This window comes from Homo sapiens, chromosome 5 (assembly GCF_000001405.40).
Source record: "Homo sapiens chromosome 5, GRCh38.p14 Primary Assembly".
In the NCBI taxonomy this organism is placed as follows: domain Eukaryota; kingdom Metazoa; phylum Chordata; class Mammalia; order Primates; family Hominidae; genus Homo; species Homo sapiens.
Genome location: NC_000005.10, coordinates 156,934,929 through 156,958,836, shown reverse-complemented (window position 1 = coordinate 156,958,836; position 23,908 = coordinate 156,934,929). Strand labels below are relative to the sequence as shown.

The following is a 23,908-nucleotide window of genomic DNA, read 5'->3' as shown; positions in this document are numbered from 1 at the left end:
CATGGAATAAATATGCACCAGTTTAGCCATTCCCCATATATACATTGTCCATTTCATTCACATATACATGGAGGCTGCAATAAACATTTGCAAATAGGCATCTTTGTCAACTTGTGTTTTTCTAGGGTGGATAACAAACGTGAAATTGCTAAGGCATACTAGGACTCTTGGGTAGTGAATACTTAATAGAAACTGCCAAATTTCCTCACAGTGTGGCTATAACAATTCATATCCCCATTTCACTCTGGTTTATCTCAGGAGGCTAAGTCATTTCCTAAGTCCCTTCCCACAAGTGTCTTGGAGTCCTGTTTACTCACACCTTGGCCATTACTCAATATTATCAGTGTTCTAAGCTTTTCCCAGTCTAATGGGTAAAATTTATTGGCTGCTCCTATTTCCTTATCTACGAATTGTCTATTATGTCCTCTGCTAGTTTCTCTATTGGATCCTTTCCTTTCCTTTCCTTTCCTTTCCTTTCCTTTCCTTTCCTTTCCTTTCCTTTCCTTTCCTTTCCTTTCCTTTCCTTTCCTTCTTTCTTTCTTTCTCTCTTTCTTTCACAGAGTCTTGCCCTGTCCTCCCTCACCCTGCCGAGGCTGGAGTGCAATGGTGTGATCTTGGCTAACTGCAACCTCTGCCTCCCGGGTTCAAACGATTCTCCTGCCTCAGCCTCCCAAGTAGCTGGGATTACAGGCGCCCACAACCACGCCCAGCTGATTTTTGTATTTTTAGTAGATACGGGCTTTCACTATGTTGGCCAGGCTGGTCTCGAACTCCTAACTTCATGATCTGCCTGCCTCCGCCTCCCAAAGTGCTGGGATTACAGGTGTGAGCCACCGCGCCCGGCCAGATCTTTTCTTATTTAGCAATTAGGATGCCTCCTTTTATGCAAAAGTACTTGGGAAAATAAAATGTTGACTCTCCAGTGGAATACTTCTTGTACATGTTTTATTAATTTACCAAATATTCATAGGAACAAGATCATCTATTTTTTCTTTTTTCTTTCTTGAATTTGAGGCAGTCTTGCTTTGTTGCCCAGGCTGGAGTCCAGTGATATGATCATAGCTCACTGCAGCCTCAAACTCCTGGGTTCAAGCCATCCTCCTGCCTCAGCCTCCTGAGTAGCTGGGACTGTAGGCATGTGCCACCACACTTGGCTAAGTTCATATTTTAGTAGTTATTAATTTTAGGTGCATGTGTTCTATGTTGTTAACATAGCTGAGGGTGATGACAATAAACTTCTTATTTTTCTCCTGGATTCATGGGAGGCAAAATGGACTTCCCACTGCATTGACTTTTTTCTTTTTCTTTTTTCTTTTTTTTTTTTGAGATAGACTCTCGCTCTGTCACCCAGGCTGGAGTGCAATGGCACAATCTCGCCTCACTGCAACCTCCGCCTCCTGGGTTCCAGCGATTCTCCTGCCTCAGCCTCCCAAGTAGCTGGGATTACAGGCACCCACCATCATGCCCAGCTAATTTTTGTATTTTTGTAGATATGGGGTTTTACCATGTTGGCCAGGCTGGTCTTGAACTCCTGACCTCAGGTGATCTGCCAGCCTCTGCCTCCTAAAGTGCTGGGATTACAGGCATAAGCCACTGTGCCCAGCCTCCCACTTCATTTATAATCTGGGAAACATTTCCACTTGGCAAAGTGAAGAGACTAAATTCGGGGAAGGCTGCAGGCTGGTCCAAATTGGGAATCATCTTTTATCATAAGAACAACCAGAGGTTGCAGTGAGCTGAGATCGCGCCACTGTGCTTCAGCCTAGGCGACAGAATGAGACTGTCTTTAAAAAAAAAAAAAAAGCCAACTGTGAAAAACCCCAGAAGCACATAGTCTTGCTTACCATATGGGTGACTCTTAGGGCTCATGTCCACCTTCTCCTAGAGAGAGGAATGCCTGGATGTTACTGCCAGCTGAGTCAAGGAGGAGCACAGCACTGCTGGCCATGCCTTCTATAACTTAGCCAACTAAATAAGCAAAGTTAGTGAATGGAGAATCTCACAGGAGGGTGCCTAAGAGAAAACAACAAGCATGGACCTGGGTACCCAAGGGGGAGCAGGGTGTGGTCTCAACAATCTGAGATCTACAGCCTGCCTGGCTTTCACTTCAATAGCATTTTTGGGGAAGGAAATGGTTTAGAATAATCTCTGATGCACAATTAAACCAATGGGCTTAACATTTTTAACAGTGAAAATGTTTTGCAGATTGTCAGAGATGAAAGGAATCTTAGAGGAGCTTGTCTAGTGGTTCTCAAACACTGGATGGGTAGTCAACTACATCAAAGTGGCCTGGAGAACTTGATTCAAGTACATATGCACTGGCCTTGGCCTTAGGGATTCAGGCTCAGGTTTGGGCAATGAACTATGTATTTTTAACAAGCTCCCTAGGTCATGCTAATGAGGAGAAGTGGTTAAAACACACTCATGCTTCATTTTAGAAAGGGAGAAACATTCCATCTCAAGTAGCTGATGCAGTAAACCTTACCCTCCAGCATTTTTTTTTTATGGCACAGCTGCCATTTTAGATAATTCCTGTGGTTCCTTCTAGCTCTAACGTTAACAAAAAATACATGCTGCAAAGTGAAATAAGCGAGGCATAGAAAGACAAATAGAAGATCTCACTTATATGCAGAATCTAAAAAAGTTAATCCCATAGAAACAGTATAAAGGTGGTTACCAGAGGCTGGGGGGTGGGTGAGTGGGTGGGATAGTGAAAGGGGAGATGTTGATTAAAAGGTACAAAGTTTCAGTTAGACTGAAGGACTAAGTTGTACTGATCTATTGCACTGCATGGTGACCACAGTAATTAATCATGTGTTGTATATTTCAAAATTGCTAATAGATTTTTAATGTTCTTGCCACAAAAGTTTGTTAAGTTGGTAAGGCGATGGATATGTTAATTAGCTTGATTGAATCTTTCTACGATGTATATGTATATCAGAACATCACATTGTATCCTATAAATATATACAATTATTATTTGTCCATTAAAAATAAATAGATAGTCCATGAACTCCACCTAACTTCATATTATCTAACAGCAAACAAATAGTCTAAGTAATTTCCAATTCTAGTAATTTCCACTGAAAGGAGAGAAGGAAATGGAATACAGTTTTACAGCCTATCTTTCTCTCATAGCACTCTCTGGATTGGGAGACCCATTTGAAGCTTTTTTTTTTTTGAGATGGAGTCTCACTTTGTTGCCCAGGCTGGAGTGCAGTGGCATGATCTCGGCTCACTGCAAGCTCTGCCTCCCTGGTACATGCCATTCTCCTGCCTCAGCCTCCTGAGTAGCTGGGACCATAGGCGCCTGCCACCACGCCCGGCTAATTTTTTGTATTTTTAGTAGAGACGGGGTTTCACTGTGTTAGCCAGGATGGTCTCGATCTCCTGACCTTGTGATCCGCCTGCCTCGGCCTCCCAAAGTACTGGGATTACAGGCGTGAGCCACCATGCCCAGCCATTTGAAGCTTTTAAGTCTGTAGTCCACAATATCTATTTGTGGAAAACAGCCCACCTGATTATATGAATAAGTGAAATTGGGTTTCAAGGTCAGGATTTTTCATGTAAGAGTTTATTGGTTAGCGAATGGAACTCAAATCAGAGTATTTAAATCAGCAAAAAGGTCTTGCCACGGTTAGAGACTCAACTGGTCACCTGGTTCCACTTAGGGGATAGAATCATGTGGAGTTAGGAGCACAGGAGTAAGCAAGGCACATCAAAACTTACGCTAAAGAACCACATAAGCCTGGCAACATGGGAAACCCTGTCTGTACAAAAGCAACACAAAAATTAGCTGGGAATGCTGCCACGCACCTGTGGTCCCAGCTACTCAGAAGGCTGAGGTGGGAGGATGGATTGAGTCTGGGAGGTTGAGGCTGTAGTGAGCCATGATTGTACCACTGCACTCCAGCCTGGGTGACAAAGCAAGACCCTGTATCAAAAAAAAAAAGGAAAGAAAAGAAACATAGACTACAGCTTTCTTCATCTTCCTGGAAGCATCTATTAGCACAAAAACTGTGTAGCATGTTTGAGAGATTTCAGTACTGCATGACCTAAATTTCGCATTTTTCCTTGCAGCACCAGTCACTTCAGAGACTGTTGTGACGGAGGTTTTGGGTCACCGGGTGACTTTGCCCTGTCTGTACTCATCCTGGTCTCACAACAGCAACAGCATGTGCTGGGGGAAAGACCAGTGCCCCTACTCCGGTTGCAAGGAGGCGCTCATCCGCACTGATGGAATGAGGGTGACCTCAAGAAAGTCAGCAAAATATAGACTTCAGGGGACTATCCCGAGAGGTGATGTCTCCTTGACCATCTTAAACCCCAGTGAAAGTGACAGCGGTGTGTACTGCTGCCGCATAGAAGTGCCTGGCTGGTTCAACGATGTAAAGATAAACGTGCGCCTGAATCTACAGAGAGGTAAGCACACGAAGGGCCTCATGCCTGCGGAAGGAGAGATTCAGTGGTTAATGGACAATGGGATCAGTGGATGGTGGTGAAGAGGTTAGAGTTGCTTTCACAGTGAGTGGGAAGATTGAATTTGAAATAAAGTGCCGTGGTTTGAAGTAGGCAAGTAAATACAAAAGCAGCCACAGAAATGAGTGGAAGGTGGAAAGGGAACTCGTGAATTGCAGGGTCAATCTGAAAAGGCAGCTGCTACGTATCTAGGGGATTACCACCTTGCAGATATTTGGGTCCAGTGTTTTCAGACCTATCAAGTTTTATGTGAACTCTGTTGATTTTTTACATGTTGCCAGATTTCAAAATAATAAAAAAACTGCATGAACTAAATAAAATGTATTCAGGGGTCACCTTCAACCAGTAAACCAACAGTTTGCCACTTCTGGCAGGGGAGAAAGGGCATGAGATTTGGACACAGTCATAGCAGTTTTCAGGAGCTTTTTCTTCTGTTACTATCAGTTGCTTTTGATGAAATCTGGGATATGGTGGGACTTCAAAAATTTGAGCTGCATTGAGCGTATGGTTGAATAATGCTAACAATAATTACCTTTAGGGCTTGTCCAGTATAGAGCTTCCCAAAATGAGCTCTGTATTCCACCTGCATCAGTGTCACCTGGAGGATCCTTGGGCTCTATTCCTAACTGGATGGGCACTTTGGAAGACAGGAATCTAGACATCTATATTCTCTCTCTCTCTCTTTTTTTTTTTTTTTTTTTTTTGGACAGAGTTTTGCTCTTGTTGCCCAGGCTGGAGTACAGTGGCACAATTTCATCTCACTGCAACCTCTACTTCCCGGTTCAAGCGATTCTCCTGCCTCAGCCTCCTGAGTAGCTGGGATTACAGGTGCCTGGCACCACACCCAGCTAATTTTGTATTTTTAGTAGAGATGAGATTTCACCATGTTGGCCAGGCTGGTCTTGAACTCCTGACCTTAAGTGATCCACCCACCTCGGCCTCCCAAAGTGCTGGGATTACAAGCATGAGCCACCACACCCGGCCTATATTCTCAAGTTTTCAGGTGACTCTAACGCACTCTAAAATTTGAGGCCAACTGATGTAAATGCTTCTAATTTAAGAACTTACATACATATTAGTATGTCTTTCTCTTAAGGCAACATTCTGAGATAAAAGCTATTCCAATTTTGCAGAAGAGAGAAATGAGGTTTATTGAAGTTAGATGACTCCCACTCAAGTCTTCTCTTTTCAAGTTGGGTATAACCAGCTATTATTTTATAAAATACTTGACCTTTATATATTATGAGGTCATTTCGAAGTTCACTTGGAACAAATGGTGTCTTTCTGGTCCATTAGAGTCAATGGAAATTTGGCATATTCTAGGGAGGATGAGATCTGTCGAATAAACGGTAGCTAATGAAGCTCAAATCAGATATGTAGGAGGTGAGTGGTGTTGGTATGAACCAATCTTTACTGTCTGAAAGAGACCACATTCTCACTCTAGGTTGCATACTTTGAGCTCACTTTTGATGCACTGATTTATGTATTCATGCAATGTTTTTGGAGCACCTACTATATGCAAGACACTGTGATAGTTATTGGATTTGTAGCATAGAACAAAATAAATGTCAGATTTTCCCTCATGGTGCTTAAAGTTTAACGGGATAAACAGGCTTTAAACAATAGCAATGAAATAAATGTGCAGTTATGAAATGCAATAAAGGCTGTGGAGGTAAACTATGAGAGCATATAATAAAGCCTAATCATTATTGGAGAATCTACATGGCCTCCTTGCAGAAGTAACCTTTAGCTGAGACATGAGAGTGAAGTAGAAGTCAGCCTCATGAAGAATGAGAATAGGAAGCAGCAGGTACAAAGGTTCGTGCAGCGGGAAGGTTGCTGATATATTCAAAGAGCTAAATAAATGCCAGTTGGGTGGGAAAAAGTGATAGCGGGGGCGGGTGGAGATATGAGATTGGAAAGAAAGGCAAGATGGGGTCAAATGGAGGCTTGTAGCTTGCAGGCCAAGGTGCAGGACTGGGTTCTTTATCTTAAGGGCAAGGAGGACCCAGTAAAAGATTTAGGCAGGGGATGGACATAATTATATTTGACTTTTTTTTTTTTTTTTGAGATGGAGTCTTACTCTGTTGCCCAGGCTGGAATGCAGTGGCACTATCTCAGCTCACTGCAACCTCTGCCTCCCAGGTTGAAGTGATTCTCCTGCCTCAGCCTCCTGAGTAGCTAGGATTACAGGCACACACCACCAGGCCCAGCTAATTTTTGTATTTTTAGTAGAGGCAGGGTTTCACCATGTTGACCAGGCTGGTCTCAAACTCCTGACCTCAAATGATCCACCCGCCTCGGCCTCCCAAAGTGCTGGGATTACAGGTGTGAACCACTGCACCTGGCCAACATTTTAAATGATTATGTAGCCAATGTGTGAAGAATAGATTGGAAGGAACATGTCAGGGTGGGGGCAGGAAACACAATTTTATTGGGCATTACAATCGTCCAGGCCAGTGGACCAGGTGAGGACAACAGAAATGGATGGGTCCCAGATATACTTGCATTATTTTCTTTTTCCTCCATCTCCGCTTGGTGCCAAACATGTCTGTTGTTGGTTACAGCCTCAACAACCACGCACAGAACAGCAACCACCACCACACGCAGAACAACAACAACAAGCCCCACCACCACCCGACAAATGACAACAACCCCAGCTGCACTTCCAACAACAGTCGTGACCACACCCGATCTCACAACCGGAACACCACTCCAGATGACAACCATTGCCGTCTTCACAACAGCAAACACGTGCCTTTCACTAACCCCAAGCACCCTTCCGGAGGAAGCCACAGGTCTTCTGACTCCCGAGCCTTCTAAGGAAGGGCCCATCCTCACTGCAGGTACGCAGATGTATCTTGGGTTTCTTAGAACAGTGCTGTCTCACTGAATGAGGCAGCCCAGTGACTTGCTCTCTCTCAGTGTGTGTGTGAGTGTGTGCGTGTACACATGCGTATATTAGTCTGCTAGGCCTATCAAACAAACACCGCAGACTGGGTAGCTTAAACAACAGAAATTTATTTTCGCACTGCTCTGGGTTCTACAAGTCCTGGGTCAAGGTGTCAGCAGGGTTGGTTTCTTCTAAGTCCTCTCTCCTTGGCTTGCAGGTGGCTGTCTTCCCTCTGCCTGTCCTTCCATGTCCTAATCTCTTGTAAGAATACCAGTTGTATTGGATTAGGGTCCATTGATATGACCTCATTTTACCTTAACTATCTCTTTAAAGGCGCTATCTCAATATACATTTGCATCCAAGGTACTGAGGGTTAGCACTTCAACATATGAATTTTGAGGGGACACAATTTATTCCTTCACAGTAGGCATGGGTGTGTGTGTGTGTGTGTGTGTGTACGAGGAGGTGTTTTCACCAAATTGTTCCTTTTCTTTTTTTATGGTTTCTCTTTTCTTCTGCCTTTTCCTTAGTGTTTTTGAAAAGTCAGCATTTTGGGTTCTCCAATTGACCTCTAAGGAGTCTTGCAAGAGATGTTTATTGAAGAACCAGGAAAGGTCACTCCTGGTCAGACTCCAGTTCCATTCTTTCAGGGGTTAAGTCGCTGCCTGAGCATTAGAGATTGGTTGAGGAAAGACCTCCAGACGCCTTTAAAATATCCCCTGATGGTGAACTAGTTCTAGCCTTGTTTCTTTTCTTTGTTTCTTTTTTTTCCCCTGGAATTCTTGACCCTGCAACTTGTACCTCTCACTGAGTGACTTGCTCCATTGCTTAGGGGGGCTTGTCAAGGCTGTCACTCTATGTCAGACTCTGATTCTGCAGTAAGAATTGGGAAAGCAATCATGAGATAGCTTGAAGGCTTTCTTAGATATTTCAGCTGCCTCAATAAGTCTTGGAAAATTCCAATAGCTTTACAAAATTGAATTGGCTAATTCTATTATACTCTGAATAGTACCTAAAATCCATGAACCCTAAACCAATCAATTCTTGTATGTATTTTTTTATTCCTTTGGGTTTTAAAATAAATAACTACCATAAAACACAACATTTGTAGTTTCTATTCCTTGATTCTAAAAATTACTTGCAATCCTTGAAGAAAACTTGAAATATATAAAGAAGCACAAAGACAGCCATAAAAATACCCTGGAACATGGTGATGTGAGCCTGTAATCCCAGCTACTTCAGAGGTTGACGCAGGAGGATCCCTTGAGCCCAAGAAGTCAGTTCCAGCCTGGACAACATAGTGAGACTCTGTCTTTTAAAGAATTAGATAAATTAGAAAAAAAAAGTGGCCAGGTGTGGTGGCTCATGCCTGTAACCTCAGCACTTTGGGAGACCAAAGCAGGTGGATCACTTAAGGTCAGGGGTTTGAGACCATCCCAGCCAACATGGTGAAACCCCATCTCTTACTAAAAATACAAAATTAGCCAGGCATGGTGGCGGGTACCTGTAATCCCAGCTGCTCGGGAGGCTGAGGCAGGAGAATCTCTTGAATCTGGGAGGTGGAGACAGAAGTGAGCAGAGATTGTGCCACTGCACTCCAGCCTGGGTGATAGAGCAAGACTCTGTTTCAAAAAATTAATTAATTAAAAAAAGATAATCCCAAATCCCACCACCCACCACAAACACAATAACTACTTTTCAGCTGCCTTTTATCCAACTTTTTTCTCTTCCAGAATCAGAAACTGTCCTCCCCAGTGATTCCTGGAGTAGTGTTGAGTCTACTTCTGCTGACACTGTCCTGCTGACATCCAAAGGTGTGCAGACACTCACTCTCTCTGTCCTCCCTCACCCTTTGTACTGAGGAGAAGGAAATTACTAAAAGTCTTGCTGAATCAGATGACTGACAACCTCTTTGGGTCTTTTGTGCCATAAAATCCCCCTGTGGCAAATTGGCCTCAAGGCAGCCTTTGTAGTTTGTTCCTTCTTGTGGCTGAGAGAGAGAGAGAGAGAAGGAGGAGGAGGAGGAGGAGGAGGAGGAGGAGGAGGGAGGTAGGGAAAAGGAAGACCCTTCTTGATTGGTGCAATTCTCTGCAGTAGCTCATGGTACATCTCTAGGATGTTTGCTTTTAGACTCTAGGCTAAGTAGCACTTAGCTGTCTCATTCTGATTTCATGCACGCAAATCTTCTTTGTTGAGACTGCTGAGGGGTTTACTAATTCAATGCATTGGGTTTTTAGAGTGGAGCGAGAATTGGTCACTCTTTCATTATTTATCCTGTCATCTACCCATCAAAACTTCTTTAGGTAGTTACTGGGGCCTGGGACGGGGTATACCCTGAAATAAGACACGATTGGCATCACGATTGGGGTGCTAGAGAGGAGCACTTGGGGTTGACTCCCAGTTCTATTCCTTTTTGCTGGGGGTCCCTGCCCTCAGTTTATATTCCTAGGTTTGTTGTAGAGTTGTATAACTTCATGCATGTGAGGACTTAGAAGAGTGCCTGGCACATTTGTAAGCACTCACATGGGAGGTGTTACCATAATGGAGCTAATAATCTAGCAAGGGAAAACAGACATCTGTAAGGTAAGTAAGTCAGCGTTTGTGATAGTACAGCACAGGGACACAGTATGATAGAGTGATTTATGTGGGTGCTCCGGCTTCACTTTGCCTAAACACAAATCCTGCCTCTTTCCTGCTGTGTGATTTTAGCTAAGCTACCTAATCTCTCTGGGCCTTAGTTTCCTCACTGGTAAACTGGGAATAACACCTATCCTGTGTTTACACCTTTCTAAGGATTAAATGACAGAATGCATGTAGGTCACTTAAGACAGTGTCTGGCACATACTTTGTTTTGTTTTGTTTTGTTTTCAATGACAGAAGTCAGTATAGGGACAGTTGAGTACCAAAAGCAGGAAGACAAGCATTTACCTAAGTCTGTTTTCTGTTTTCCTTTGTTTTTCCAAAGAGTCCAAAGTTTGGGATCTCCCATCAACATCCCACGTGTCAATGTGGAAAACGAGTGATTCTGTGTCTTCTCCTCAGCCTGGAGGTAGGGGGGCTGTGATTTTTTTTATTTTATTTTACTTTATTAATTATTATTATTATTTTTTTTAGACAGAATCTTGCTTTTTTTTTTTTTTGTAGAGATGAGTTCTCACCATGTTGCCCAGGCTGGTCTCAAATCTCTTGGCCTCAAGTGATCCTCCTGCCTTGGCCTCTCAAAGTTCTAGAGCCAGCTTGCCTGGCCTGGGGCTGTGTTCTCATGAGTGGCTTGTCTTTGGATGTGGAAACAATCTGTCATCTATCTGGTTGTCTTGGGATTCAACTATTCTGGCTCCTTCGTGGCCACGTACCACATCCTCCCGCCAGCTGGAGTGGAAGCAAAACATGCTGCAAGCATCAGTGCTGGCTTCTCCTCTCCTCTGCTCATCTCTGAAGTCCCTCTGTTGAAATCTTCCTTCTTCCTTAGCAACTGCTGACCTTATGCCAGGAATGATAGTAGGAAAACCACCTATTCATATTTCAAATTTTGTTTTTTTATTTTAAATTACACAAATGTCACACTAATGCATTTTTGTTAGGAGTGCATAGAAACAGATAGAAATAAAATTCTCTTTCACTCCTTGTCTTCAATCCCAGCCCCCTGCCATGAGATAATAACTGTTATTAGTTGAAGATGATCATTCTAGGTCTTTTTTCCATTCCCTTATGTGTCTACATAGCTATAGAAATACATAGTTCAGTTTTGTGCATGTCTTTAGACAATGTTATCATGCTATATGCAGCATTCTGCATTTTGTTTTATTCACTTATTGTTATATATTGGACCACTTTCTTCTTTAATCTATGTAGATACATGTCAAATTGCTGTGTAATATTTCACATTATGAGTACTCACAGTATTTCTTGTCTATTGAGGGGCATTTAGGTTGTTTCAATGTTTCCTTTTTATAAACAGTGCTGCAGTGAACATCCTAGCACATGCATACCTCCCTAACCATTCATGCAAGTGTTTCTGTAGTTAGGATGGTGACCAAAAAGTAAAAATTGCTGGTTAAAAGAAATGTGCACCTTTAAATTTAATAGCTTGTAGAAAAATGTTCTCAGAAAAGGCTGTGCCAATTTATTTTTCCACCCACAGAGTATCTGCTTTCCCATATTCTCCCTACACTTGATATGACTGTTTGTTTAACTTTTTCAATCTTATGAGAAGAAAATGTCATCTTGTTCTTTTCTTTTTTCTTTCTTTCTATTTTATTTTTTTTTTGAGACAGAGCCTCACTCTGTAGCCCAAGTTGGAGTGCAGTGGTGCGATCTCCGCTCACTGCAACCTCTGCCTCCTGGGCTCAAGTGATTCTCGTGCCTTAGCCTTCTGAGTAGCTGGGACTACAGGCACATGCCACCATGCCTGGCTAATTTTTTGTATTTTAGTAGAGATGGGGTTTCACCACGTTGCCCTGGTTGGTCTTGAACTCCTAAGCTCAGGTGATCCACCTGCCTCGGCCTCCCAAAGTGCTGGGGTTGCAGGCATGAGCCACCTTGCCCGGCCCATCTTGTTCTTTTCTTATCCTGATTAACAGAGAGTTTGAGTTCCTTTCTATATGTTTATTAGCCAGGAAACAGGCATCATTTAATTCTGTGAAGGAGACAATGTAGCATCACTCTCAAAAATTCAGAAGAGGCCAGGCGCGGTGGCTCATGCCTATAATTACAGCACCTTGGGAGGCCGAGGCAGGCGGATCACGAGGTCAGGAGATCAAGACCATCCTGTCTAACATGGTGAAACCCCGTCTCTACTAAAAAAAAAAAAATACAAAAAAATTAGGTGGACGTGGTGGCGGGCGCCCGTAGTCCTAGCTACTCGAGAGGCTGAGGCAGGAGAATGGCGTGAACCTGGGAGGCGGAGCTTGCAGTGAGCCGAGATTGTGCCACTGCACTCCAGCCTGGGCGACGAGTGAGACTCCGTCTCAAAACAAACAAACAAAAAAAAGCTCAGAGTTGGAGGAAACAGACAAGAGTGAATGGAAGGGGATAGGTTTTGAAGTAAGACTGTAACTTAGGATGAAATGCGAGGGGGCCCTGATATTAAGACGCTTTGGCCTGCACTAACTCATACAGTGGGAAAACAGAAAATCTGGATTAGGAGTTGATAATTTAAGGGAAATGGGGTGCCAAAGATCCAAACCCTCTTTGTCTATGGGATGGGGTAAGGGTGGGGGACTATTTTCTGACAAAGAAAGAGATGACAGTGACTAGAAAGGTGATGGAAAGTAGGGAGAACATTCTAACACCATCATCCTTTATTCCATTTAAATCTTGGACTATTTTACATTGAATTACAAGGGAATAAGAGGTCATGTGATGTTTACCTTCCATAAGCTTCTTTATAGTTTTCATTTCTCTCCTCCTTGACCAAATCCCAGAAGAGAGAACACTTGCTGCTCTGGTGAAGAGGAGCTTGGTGTAAGAAGGCCAGTCAGTCTCTATGGAACATTTAGTCATTAGGGATGAAAAGCAGGGTTTATTGCGCACGTGTTATGTTCTAGGTCTGTGTCAAGCCATCTTCCTGGGCCACTTCATTTAATCCCTCGTTAGCAGATGCTCATATTTTTGTTTTATCAAAATCTCCCAAGGCCACACAGCTCTCAGGTGTCAGGTCTGGGATGTCTAGCTCTGATTCTACACTCTTTAGGTATCATTTTATTTTATCTGGTTCTCTAATCTGAAATTAAAAGTCATATTCTTTTAACTACTATTCATTTATTTTAAATTACACAAACATTACACGCATGCTTTTTTGTTAGGGGTACATGAAAACAGATAGAAATAAAATTCTTTCACTCCCTACTTCCTCTCTTCCCACTGTTTTTTTGGTAATGAAACATTCATAGTGATAATTGTGGTTAACATCCACCGAGGATTTACCTATGCATTAGGTACTGTGCTCAGCGTTTTTGCATTAATTTTCTTATTTGAATCTCACAACAACCTCCTAGGCAGCTACAGATATTATCCTCATTTTATAGGTAAAGAAATGGAGGGTCAGAGACTTTATTAGGGAAGCTAACACCTACCATTGTAGGTCTGCCTTGTTTTAACACCATGCACGTTGCATGTATTATCTCTTTTGATTGTCCCCACATTCCTAAGAAATGGGTACCATTATCTCCTCACCTCCATTTTAGAGCCCTTGAAGATTAAAAACTTGTCCGGTAAATGGCCGACCTGGATTTAACCACGTCTTTTCAACTCCAGATCACTCTAACACCGTGCCACTCTGCTTCCTCCTGGTCTCCCCTCTGGTGCCTCTTACAGAATAAGACTACATCTTCATTCACATGAAAACCCTTCCAACCCACTTCAGAGGGCCTACAGGCTTCTGTGGGTTTTTCTTTCTCTGGCTAACAATCCACAATTCCCTCTCCATTTTTTCATGTAATTTTCGATGGCAAAGCTTCTGTGGTTGTGGGCTGATTTAAATCCTTAAAGAGGGTCTTGTCAATCATTGTTCTCTAAAATTAGCATGACCCAGGGTAGCAATTTCTTGCCTCCACTTTATGGCTGCCTAGAATGGAGCTCAGAGATGTAGAGTGACTTGTCTTAAGATCACACAGCTGGCCAGGCACAGTGGCTCAAGCCTGTAATCCCAGCACTTTGGGAGGCCAGGCACAGTGGCTCAAGCCTGTAATCCCAGCACTTTGGGAGGCCGAGGTGGGCGGATCACGAAATCAGGAGATCGAGACCATCCTGGCTAACACAGTGAAACCCCGTCTCTACTAAAAAATACAAAAAATTAGCCAGGCGTGGTGGCGGGCACCTGTAGTCCCAGCTACTTGGGAGGCTGAGGCAGGAGAATGGTGTGAACCCAGGAGGCGGAGCTTGCAGTGAGCCGAGATCGCGCCACTGTACTCCAGCCTGGGGGAAATAACGAGACTCCGTCTCAAAAAAAAAAAAAAAAAAAAAAAAAAAGATCACACAGCTGAACAGCGGGAGAGCTAGGAGTCATACCCAGCTTTTAGAGATTTTAAACTGTGTCTGAGGACTCCTGGATGGGGGATATCTGTAGATGAGCTTCTTGCAGGAAGGGCATGACCCTCCTGAAATGATATGCATAATTGTATGTATGTGTGCACACACATTTTTCTGGGGCAAAGTCCAGGACTTTCATTCAATTCTCTAAATATTCTACAAAACCCCAAATGGCTAGGAGCTATAATTCAGTAACAAGTACAAGCACAAACAGATAAAACAACAGTAACAACTCACATGAAAATATGACATAGGTCCCACTCCCCCCAAATCTATTAGAGTGATACAAACTCATACCTCAAGATACCTAGGAACTCTGATCATACTTTTCGCCTATGGGATTAATTTTATTTCTTTATTTCTTTTTTTTTTTTTGAGACAGAGTCTCACCTCTGTCACCCAGGCTGGAGTGCAGTGGCATGGTCTCGGCTCACTGCAAGCTTTGCCTCCTGGGTTCAAGCGATTTTCCTGCCTCAGCCTCCTGAGTAACTGGGACTACAGGCACCCACCACCACACCTGGCTAATTTTTTTTTTTTTTTGTATTTTTAGTAGAGACGGGGTTTCACCATATTGGCCAGGCTGGTCTCAAACTCCTGACCTTGTGATCCACCTGCCTTGGCCTCCCAAAGTGCTGGGATTACAGGTGTGAGCCTCTGCACCCAGCTGGGATTAATTTTATTTCTTGCTTGGTAGCAGGAATGTGTGAAATGGCCCCCAGTTTCTCCCAAAAGGCCTCCTCTCTACTGGGTAGGGACTCCAAAGCCAGGGCATAAAAAGCTACATAACTATGCCATTTCCTAAATAAAATCAGGTGGGCTGGGATTAAGTTCCCTACTGATTGTATCTCAGGCTCATGTTCACTGCCTCTATAACATCCCAAATCCCTATCCTTTCTTTCTAGTCCTTTCTTCTCATAGCCTGTTGGGTGGCATTAGGTGGGAGTTGAAAGAGTTGAGTCAGGGAGTGCAAAGGCTCCTGATTATATCCTACCTCTGCCATTTTGTGAGATTTTTGTTTTTCTTGTAGAATCTCAGGTGAGTTATTTGTTCTATCCTTTTCTGAATCTCAGTTTCCTCAAAATGTAAAATGGGGATAACGGTAGTACTTATTGTATAGGGCTGTTAAGTGAGAAAATGCATGAGAAAAATGCCTAGTACATAATTACTGGCTTGTAAATAATAGTCATTAGGAAGAACTTCTATTTTTTTCTTTTCTTTACATCTCTGCTGCTATTCCAGATCACAAACCTTCATTTTCAGGCAGTCCAGCAGGGTAACAAGAGGCCACTTCTGCCAGCTCCCAAATAACTGGCTGTTCCTGATCAGTATATAGATACTTTCCAGTTTTATGATTTTTTTAAACTACTAATCACACTAGGGAAACAGCTGAGGAGTGACAAAATCACAAACCCAGAGAAGTTACAAAAGCTTTTACAATCTCATAGTAGTAATTCTCAGTATTAGAATAAATCTGAGATTCTGAAAGCTTTTCACTGACCTCTGTTTAGATGGCTATGTAGAACTCTCAATTATTGGTTTTATTCCTGTGGGTGAATATCTTTAATTTTCAACTGCCTCTCAGTTGTTTTGTTCTCATGTTGCTCAATCTATTGAGGCTCCACTCTATAATTTAGGCTTGAGAATCAAGTTACAGCTGAAAAAGAGCTGTGGTCCAGTTTGCCATTCTAATGCTTCCAGGTTTGTGTTATTTATTTTACAAAGCAACTCTGTGTACATGTCTTCTAGTTCAATGCTCTCCTCCAATTTTTAGGTGGCTGGTCTGCAGATATCAACCAAAGAAGCCCTACTTAGTGTGGCAAATTCTAATCTCCACTCTCTGGATGCCAGATATAGGGCTCAGAGATGTAGAATGATTTATCCAAGGTCACACAGCTAGACAGAGGGAGAACTGGGACTCACATCCGCATTTCAGGGATTTTAAACTTGTGTCTATGAACTTCCAGGGGATGTAGGGGGGAAGTCTTGTCTGTAGAATGCTGGGAAACTAAGAAGATAGGAAATTGAGACCCAGAGAAGGCCAGGGAATTGAGAGAAGGCTTGTAGTGAGTTAGGAAGAGAGCTAAGGCAAGAGGCCAGTGGTCCTGACCCCGTGCAGAGTTGGTCTTTGTTCCCAGATGGGCAGCCACTGTTTCTCAACAGAGCTTTCTTGAAGGCAGGTTCCTTATTTACATATGAGGTTTCACTTTTCTTGTGCCCCAAATGAATCATTATACCTGTAATCAGCAGGAAGTCAAAAACTGTAGCACAAATTCAAGTTGAATGCACTGAAAAACACACGAGGACTTTGCTGTCAATATTCAAATTGGGAAAAATGAAGATTGCTCTGACAATAACAACATTTTTCTTTCCTTGCGATACTTAACAGTAGTTATTTCTTGGTCCCAGGGACAAGAATATGGGGGAGTGGGTTAGGGATGAGTTTAGAAACATTTTTTTCTATTACTGTATCTTTTTATTTTGCAAAGCCAGTTGAAGCTTCAAGGTCCAAAACAAGCTGGCCTTTCCATGGAGTTAAGGCATGCTCAGAGGGATATGTGGTTGCACATGGAATTTTAAATCTGTACCTTGTAACTCTGGCATTTGGTTTAGATATATGACAGTAGGTAATATATTTGGTTGCACTTTATGTGGCATAGGACATGTAAAAATGAGTAAGTCATGGCCTTCTTCTTTAAAGGGATCACACTTTAGTGGGATGGACAGGCTTGTGCATAACAAACCATCCTTTAGTGAGCTCTGCTTTGAGATAGAGGTAAGAAAAGGCACACTGGGGCCCAAAGATGGAAGAGGTGAAAATGAAAATGAGGACCAGGGTCAGGGCTGATTTTACTCATTGACCTTTGAATTGGTTCTTCAAGGAGAAAATGCTATTAAGGAGGGAAGAGCCAACAGGATGGAAGAACAGCATGAGCAAAGACGGAGAAATGTAATACAAGCATGATGTCTTTGGTGATTATTTAACAGTCTGGTTTAATCCAAAAATAGAGATAGGAAGCTGGTAATGGTCTAGGTTCTTAAGGGGCTTGTATGATCGACTAAAGAATTTATATTTTATTTCAGAGTCATGAGGAATTGTTCATTTTTTTAATTTTTTTTAGTATTTATTGATCATTCTTGGGTGTTTCTCGGAGAGGGGGATTTGGCAGGGTCATAGGACAATAGTGGAGAGAAGGTCAGCAGATAAACATGTGAACAAAGGTCTCTGGTTTTCCTAGGCAGAGGACCCTGCGGCCTTCCGCAGTGTTTGTGTCCCTGGGTACTTGAGATTAGGGAGTGGTGATGACTCTTAACGAGCATGCTGCCTTCAAGCATCTGTTTAACAAAGCACATCTTGCACCGCCCTTAATCCATTTAACCCTGAGTTGACACAGCACATGTTTCAGAGAGCAGGGGCTTGGGGGTAAGGTTATAGATTAACAGCATCCCAAGGCAGAAGAATTTTTCTTAGTAAAGAACAAAATGGAGTCTCCTATGTCTACTTCTTTCTACACAGACACAGTAACAATCTGATCTCTCTTTCTTTTCCCCACATTTCCCCCTTTTCTGTTCAACAAAACCGCCATCGTCATCATGGCCCCTTCTCAATGAGCTGTTGGGTACACCTCCCAGACGGGGCGGCTGCCGGGCGGGGGTGCCCCCTACCTCCCAGATGGGGCAGCCGGGTGGAGACTCTCCTCACTTCCCAGACGGGGCGGCTGCCGGGCGGAGGGGCTCCTCACTTCTCATACGGGGCAGCCGGGCAGAGGCGCTCCTCACCTCCCAGATGGGGTGGTGGCCGGGTAGAGATGCTCCTCACCTCCCAGACGGGGCGGCCGGGCAGAGGCGCTCCTCACATCCCAGACGGGGCGGCGGGGCAGAGGCACTCCCTACATCCCAGATGATGGGCGGCCAGGCAGAGATGCTCCTCACTTCCTAGACGGGGCGGCGGCCGGGAAGAGGCGCTCCTCACTTCCCAGGCTGGGCGGCCGGGCAGAGGGGCTCCTCACATCCCAGACGATGGGCGGCCAGGCAGAGACGCTCCTCACTTCCTAGATGGGGTGGCGGCCGGGCAGAGGCTGCAATCTCAGCACTTTGGGAGGCCAAGGCAGGCGGCTGGGAGGTGGAGGTTGTAGCAAGCCGAGATCACGCCACTACACTCCAGCCTGGGCGACATTGAGCACTGTGTAAGTGAGACTCCGTCTGCAATCCCGGCACCTCGGGAGGCCGAGGCGGGCAGATCACTCGAGGTCAGGAGCTGGAGACCAGCCCGGCCAACAGGGCGAAACCCCGTCTCCACCAAAAAATACAAAAACCAGTCAGGCCTGGCGGCACGCGCCTGCAATCCCAGGCACTCAGCAGGCTGAGGCAGGAGAATCAGGCAGGGAGGTTGCAGTGAGCCGAGATCGCGGCAGTACAGTCCAGCCTCGGCAACAGAGGGAGACCGTGGAAAGCGGGAGACGGAGACGACGGAGAGGCAGAGGGAGAGGGTTCATGTTTTTTGAGTAGGGAATGGCATTTTCAGTTGTTTTAGGAAAAATTGCTGTGGCAAGGGTGTGGAAGATGTATTAGATGGGAGTAAGGCTGGAGTCTCCTGCAATACTTCAGGTGAAGCATGAGTGTCTAGATTAGAATGATAGCAGCAACAACAATAGAGAGGGGACGGAGTAACAGCCATTTAGCAATTAGGAGTCAGAAGACTTGGTGGCCTAAATGGAGAATGAAGGACGGCTAATTCTCTGCAGTTGGGAGAATGGGTCAATGTGTGGGTTAACTGGTAAAGCAGCTCCATGAGGAAGAGTTAAGTTTGTGTGTGAGATCTTGAGTTTGAAATGCCTCAGAAGTGTCTAACAGGCAGTTGAAAGTGTGGGTCTGGGCTGACTCATGGATGCTTGGGTGGGTGTCTTTGCTAATTGGCACTTATATCTGGTCAAAATAATTACTACACTGATTCACATTATAAGTGCTAAATAAAGACTTGCCAGTATACCAATACTTTCATGTATATTCTCTCAAAAGGGGTAGTGCAAGACTAAGGATATAATTTGGGAGGTCATTGCTCATAAATGACACTTACTGAGTACTTATTATATGCCAAGGCTTGGCTCAACGTGTCTAGTGCATTGTCTCATTGTGAGCAATTGTCTGAATCTATGAGGCAGATTCTATTATAAGGTCCACGATAAAGGAGAAAAACTAAGGCTTGAAGAGGTTAAAAAATTGTCCAGAATTTGAATCCCAGGTCTCTTTGGTGCTTGAACCTGAGCTCTTACACACTTTATTGTCTTGCCTCATTAGCACAGGAGGGATAATGGAAGCTCCTGTATAATCACCTAAAGATATTGTGTGAGATGAAGAGAGAGGTGAAGAGGTGCAAAGGGAGACTCCCTCCCCACAAAGGAGCAGTACACTGGGGGAGCTTGTGGTGGAGGAAGAAAAGCCAACTAAGGAGCTACTCCTAAGCCAGCTAAGGAGCTAGACAGGAAGACACCAGAATTAGAATGGGATGCATAAGCACACAAGGGCCGAGGAAGCTGGGCTGGCAAAGCCTAGGGAGGCTGTAGTTAAAGATTAGGAAATTCTGGAATGAGGCATTTAGAGAGGTGGCTGTGTACTGCAGCAGGGTCACCATGAAGTGAACAGAGAGTATGAGCTCTGTGGGCGGACTCCATGAAATCCCAAAATGAGCAATTGCTAGAGGATGAATGTTTGACGTTCTTTCAAGAAATTTAGAGGGAAGGCAGGGTAGAGAAGGAAGGAGCTGCTGAACGAGCAAGATGTATTCTGGCATGGCATAGGAGGATGCAGTCAAACATGGCAGAGGTAGGTTTGATCTAGACGTGGAGATAAGAGAGAAGAGGGTGAGGAGAGAACAAATGAAGGTGTGAGAACAATCAGATCTCGTGTTGACCTCTAGGAGGTGGGAGAAGACTGGGGAAGCAAGACCTTGAACTTGGAGATTATCTAATCCATGAATTCCAGACCTGATCATGTGCTGGAATCACAGGGAACTTAGTAAAAATATAGGTCTCCTTAGTGTACCCAAGACTTGCAGATGAGAACCTCTGGCAGTGGGGTCAAGAAATCATATGTTTAACAAACCTCAGATGAGTCTTTTGAAGCCACAGCCCTGGTCCCAAGAAGGCAGTTAGGAATTCCTAGTATAGTACACTCTCCTTATTTTACAAATAAGGAAATTGAGGCACAGAGACATTTAAAAAGTTTAAAGAGGAGTGAGCACTCGTCCTTAGGTAGGAGTCTCTTCTGGCTCCCAAATTAGAGCTCATTGCCCTACATTGCACTATTTTAATAAAGTAAAGATAAAATTGAGCCCTGTCAGAACCTGACAATTTTCTGAGCCTTTCGCTGATCAAGGGCATGGAAAAGTTGTAGGAGGAATTGCCATTCTCAGTGCAAGTTCAGCAGAAGGAACAGAGAAAGGCAGAGGAATGAAGGAAACCACATTTGTACTCACCAATGCCATTGTTAGGAAGAAAGAAATTGGATGCACTTGATTTCAAAGTCAACATCTTTCATGAGGTATTAACAGATTTGTTTTATCTCTCATGCCCAGTGCTGTTCACAGACTTGAATCAGTTGGTAGCCCGGCTGGGGGATAAAGGAAAAAGACAAAATTGGATTCTTATTATTTTTTCTCACAATAGCATTCTAGTCTACCAACTGTACAATTTTTTATTAATAACATTGGAATTGAATCCATGTAATTCTAGCATCTAACAGCTCACCTTCAGAAATGTCAACCAAATAAGATCAAAGAGAATTGCCAAGCTTTAAAAGAGGTATGTCCATGTAAGACAAACAAAGAGTGAAAAAGAAATAAGGGGTGAGCTGTTGAAATAGAACACAAAGCCAGCCCCGAGATAGGTCCTCATTGATGGCTAACAAACTGAGCTGGGTGGCCCCTCTGTAGGCCAAAACATCTCTCTGATGCAGAGCCAGGGAGGGGTTTCTAGGCACTGGAGAGGTCTCTGATTTCACAGCGGGTAGAATAAAAGAGTAAACCTCAGTGTGTTCTGCAGTGTGGTCTCTCTCTCTGTTTTCTGCCCTATAAACAAGTCAATAAATAAAGGTACAAACGCCCTTTGGTAAGATCTACCATCTGTAACTGGGGGCTGTTGAACCCTGTGATACTCAGCAGTATATTAGAGAGGAAAAGAAGTGGAACCTGGAATCAGATGTCATTGCCCTACCATTCACTAGCTCTCATTATTAGCTATGCAGCCTTGGGCAAGATATGGACCCCTCAGAGCTTTCATTTCCTCCTCTTTCAATAAGTCTGCCCAAGTTTACTTAGCTCATAGACTCATATTAAAGCTCCAATGAGATAATGTATGTGAAAGTGCTTTGTGCACTTTCAGATGCTTACATTGTACTCACAATAATAATCATCGATAATAATGATTATTAGAATCTCTTTTCCAAAAACTGTACCCATCCAGGTGGTACAGGACTGGGGTTTCATTTCCTTTTTTTTTTTTTTTTTTTCCAGACGGAGTCTCGCTCTCTTACCCAGGCTGGAGGGCAAGGGCGCCATCTCGGCTCACTGCAACCTCTGCCTCCCATGTTCAAGCGATTCTCCTACCTCAACCTCCTGAGTAGCTGGGATTACAGGCACCCGCCATCATGCCTGGCTAATTTTTTTTTCTTTTTTTTTTTGTACTTTTGTAGAGACGGGGTTTCACCATGTGGGCCAGGCTGGTTTTGAACTTTTGACCTCAGGTGATCTGCCCACCTCGGCCTCCCAAACTGCTGGGATTACAGGCGTGAGCCACTCTTCCCATTGTATTCACTCTCCAGCACTCATCTTGCCACATTTTCCAAAGTCCATAGAGCCCAGAGGATAGGAGTTTGGGCTTTGAAGTTAAATGATCCTGGCTCCAAGATTTGCTCTGTCCCTTCCTACTATGCAACTTGAGCAAGTTGCCTGACCTCTCCAGGCCACAAGTTTCCCACTGTGAGATGAGGGCAGTAATGGGAACTACTGACGAGCATTTTCTGAGAATTAACTAAGAACATGAGAAGTACTTCACATTGTACTTGGCATGCAGTAAGTGCTCAGTATATGGTAGCCATTTATTATTATTGTTGTTGTTATCAATAATTCTGAGTGTTTTAGGTCAAATGCAGATCTTCCCACCTCCCTCAATCAAGATTAGTTAATTTATTTATTTCTGTTTTTGAGATGGGGTCTCGTTCTGCAGCTCAGGCTGGAGTGCAGTGGTGTGATCATGGCTCACTGCAGCCTTTATCTCTTGGGCTCAAGCGATCCTCCTGCCGCAGCCTCCTGAGTAGCTGGGACTACAGTCATGCACCACCATGCCCAGCTAATTTTTTTTTATTTTGTAGAGATGGTGTCTCCCTATGTTGCCCAGGCTGGTCTTGAACTCCTGCGTTCAAGAGATCTGGCCGCCTCGGCCTCCCAAAGCGCTGGATTACAAGCATGAGCTACCGTGCCTGGTCTCATTGAAGATTTATTGATCAGCTAATGTGGGCAAAGCCCAGTGCTAGACATTGCCCTCCAGAGGAGAGTCCAGTGATGAAGGATTAGGAATGAGGTCTTATCTGTGCTTTACTGAGACCCTCAGCTATTGGCACATGAGAACAGAAGCCTAAGGAGGTGACTCTAGGCTCTCACAGGGTTGATGAGATTTTGTTGCTAGGGTGTCTCAAGGTTGATGAGATTTTGTTGCTAGTGGAAGGTTGAGGCCAAGGTTCAGAACCAAGGTGCCTCTTGAACAATGGTGTTCTAGAATCCCTGGTTTCCTTCTATCTACCTAATCTGCGTGAAATGTGACAGTATCTCACCATTTCTTTCTCTTTCTGAACCACATTGGGTGCCAACAGAACTTGCTCTCTGTTCTCTTTCAAAATTACCAACATGGACCCCACCCAATTCTTCCCTTGGAACTAAGGAACGCCTGACTGATGTATGTAATGCTCTGTTGATTTATTCATTTCAGTGTATATATTCATTTAAGTGTATAAAAACATGTAAAGTCCTTTAGAATTTGAAGCAAGCATGCGAATTCAATAAATGTGTGCTTCCACTTTCAAAAGGAGTTTTGAAATTCCGGATTTGTATTAGTGCTGCTGGGAAAGGTCAGAAAATATGAATTCTGAGTAGAGGTCAGCAAAATACGTAGTCCCTTCCTTTGTTATTTACTGTAAAATCTTGCGCAAATGAACTTTTCTCTCTAGATTTCAGCTTCCCTCTTGACAAATTAAAAAAAAAAAAGAAATTGGAGGAGACAATTTCAAATCCCTCCCAACTCTTAAACATTCAGATTGTGATTTTTGGATTCTTTTGCTCTTTTGGATTTTTTAAGACCATATCGCCCATGATCCACAGGGGGCAGCGTAAGCCCGAGGCTACCCATGAAAGAAAAGAAACTGTTCTCTGAAGGCTTGCACTTGTCACTTCTAAAATTCTAGGATTGCGTTGAAGTTGTATCTTTGAGTTGACTTATTTCAGAACTAATTTTGTTTTAA

General features: G+C 43.7%; 1 protein-coding gene across 4 annotated transcripts in view; it reads left to right on the top strand.

Moving 5' to 3' along the window:
* Positions 1-23,908, top strand: part of TIMD4 (T cell immunoglobulin and mucin domain containing 4) — a 43,935-nt gene that overhangs the window by 4,390 nt on the left and 15,637 nt on the right. The window contains exons 2-6 of one of the 4 annotated variants that reach the window (XM_011534694.3): positions 4,081-4,422; positions 7,047-7,325; positions 9,106-9,186; positions 10,338-10,421; positions 10,517-11,658. In XM_011534694.3, the coding sequence (XP_011532996.1) occupies positions 4,081-4,422; positions 7,047-7,325; positions 9,106-9,186; positions 10,338-10,421; positions 10,517-10,572 (842 nt within the window). In that variant the 3' untranslated portion in view covers positions 10,573-11,658. Of the gene's footprint in view, positions 1-4,080; positions 4,423-7,046; positions 7,326-9,105; positions 9,187-10,337; positions 10,422-10,516; positions 11,659-23,908 lie in introns of those variants that run through there. The other 3 variants (NM_138379.3, NM_001146726.2, XM_017010021.2) reach the window with 3 other exon arrangements.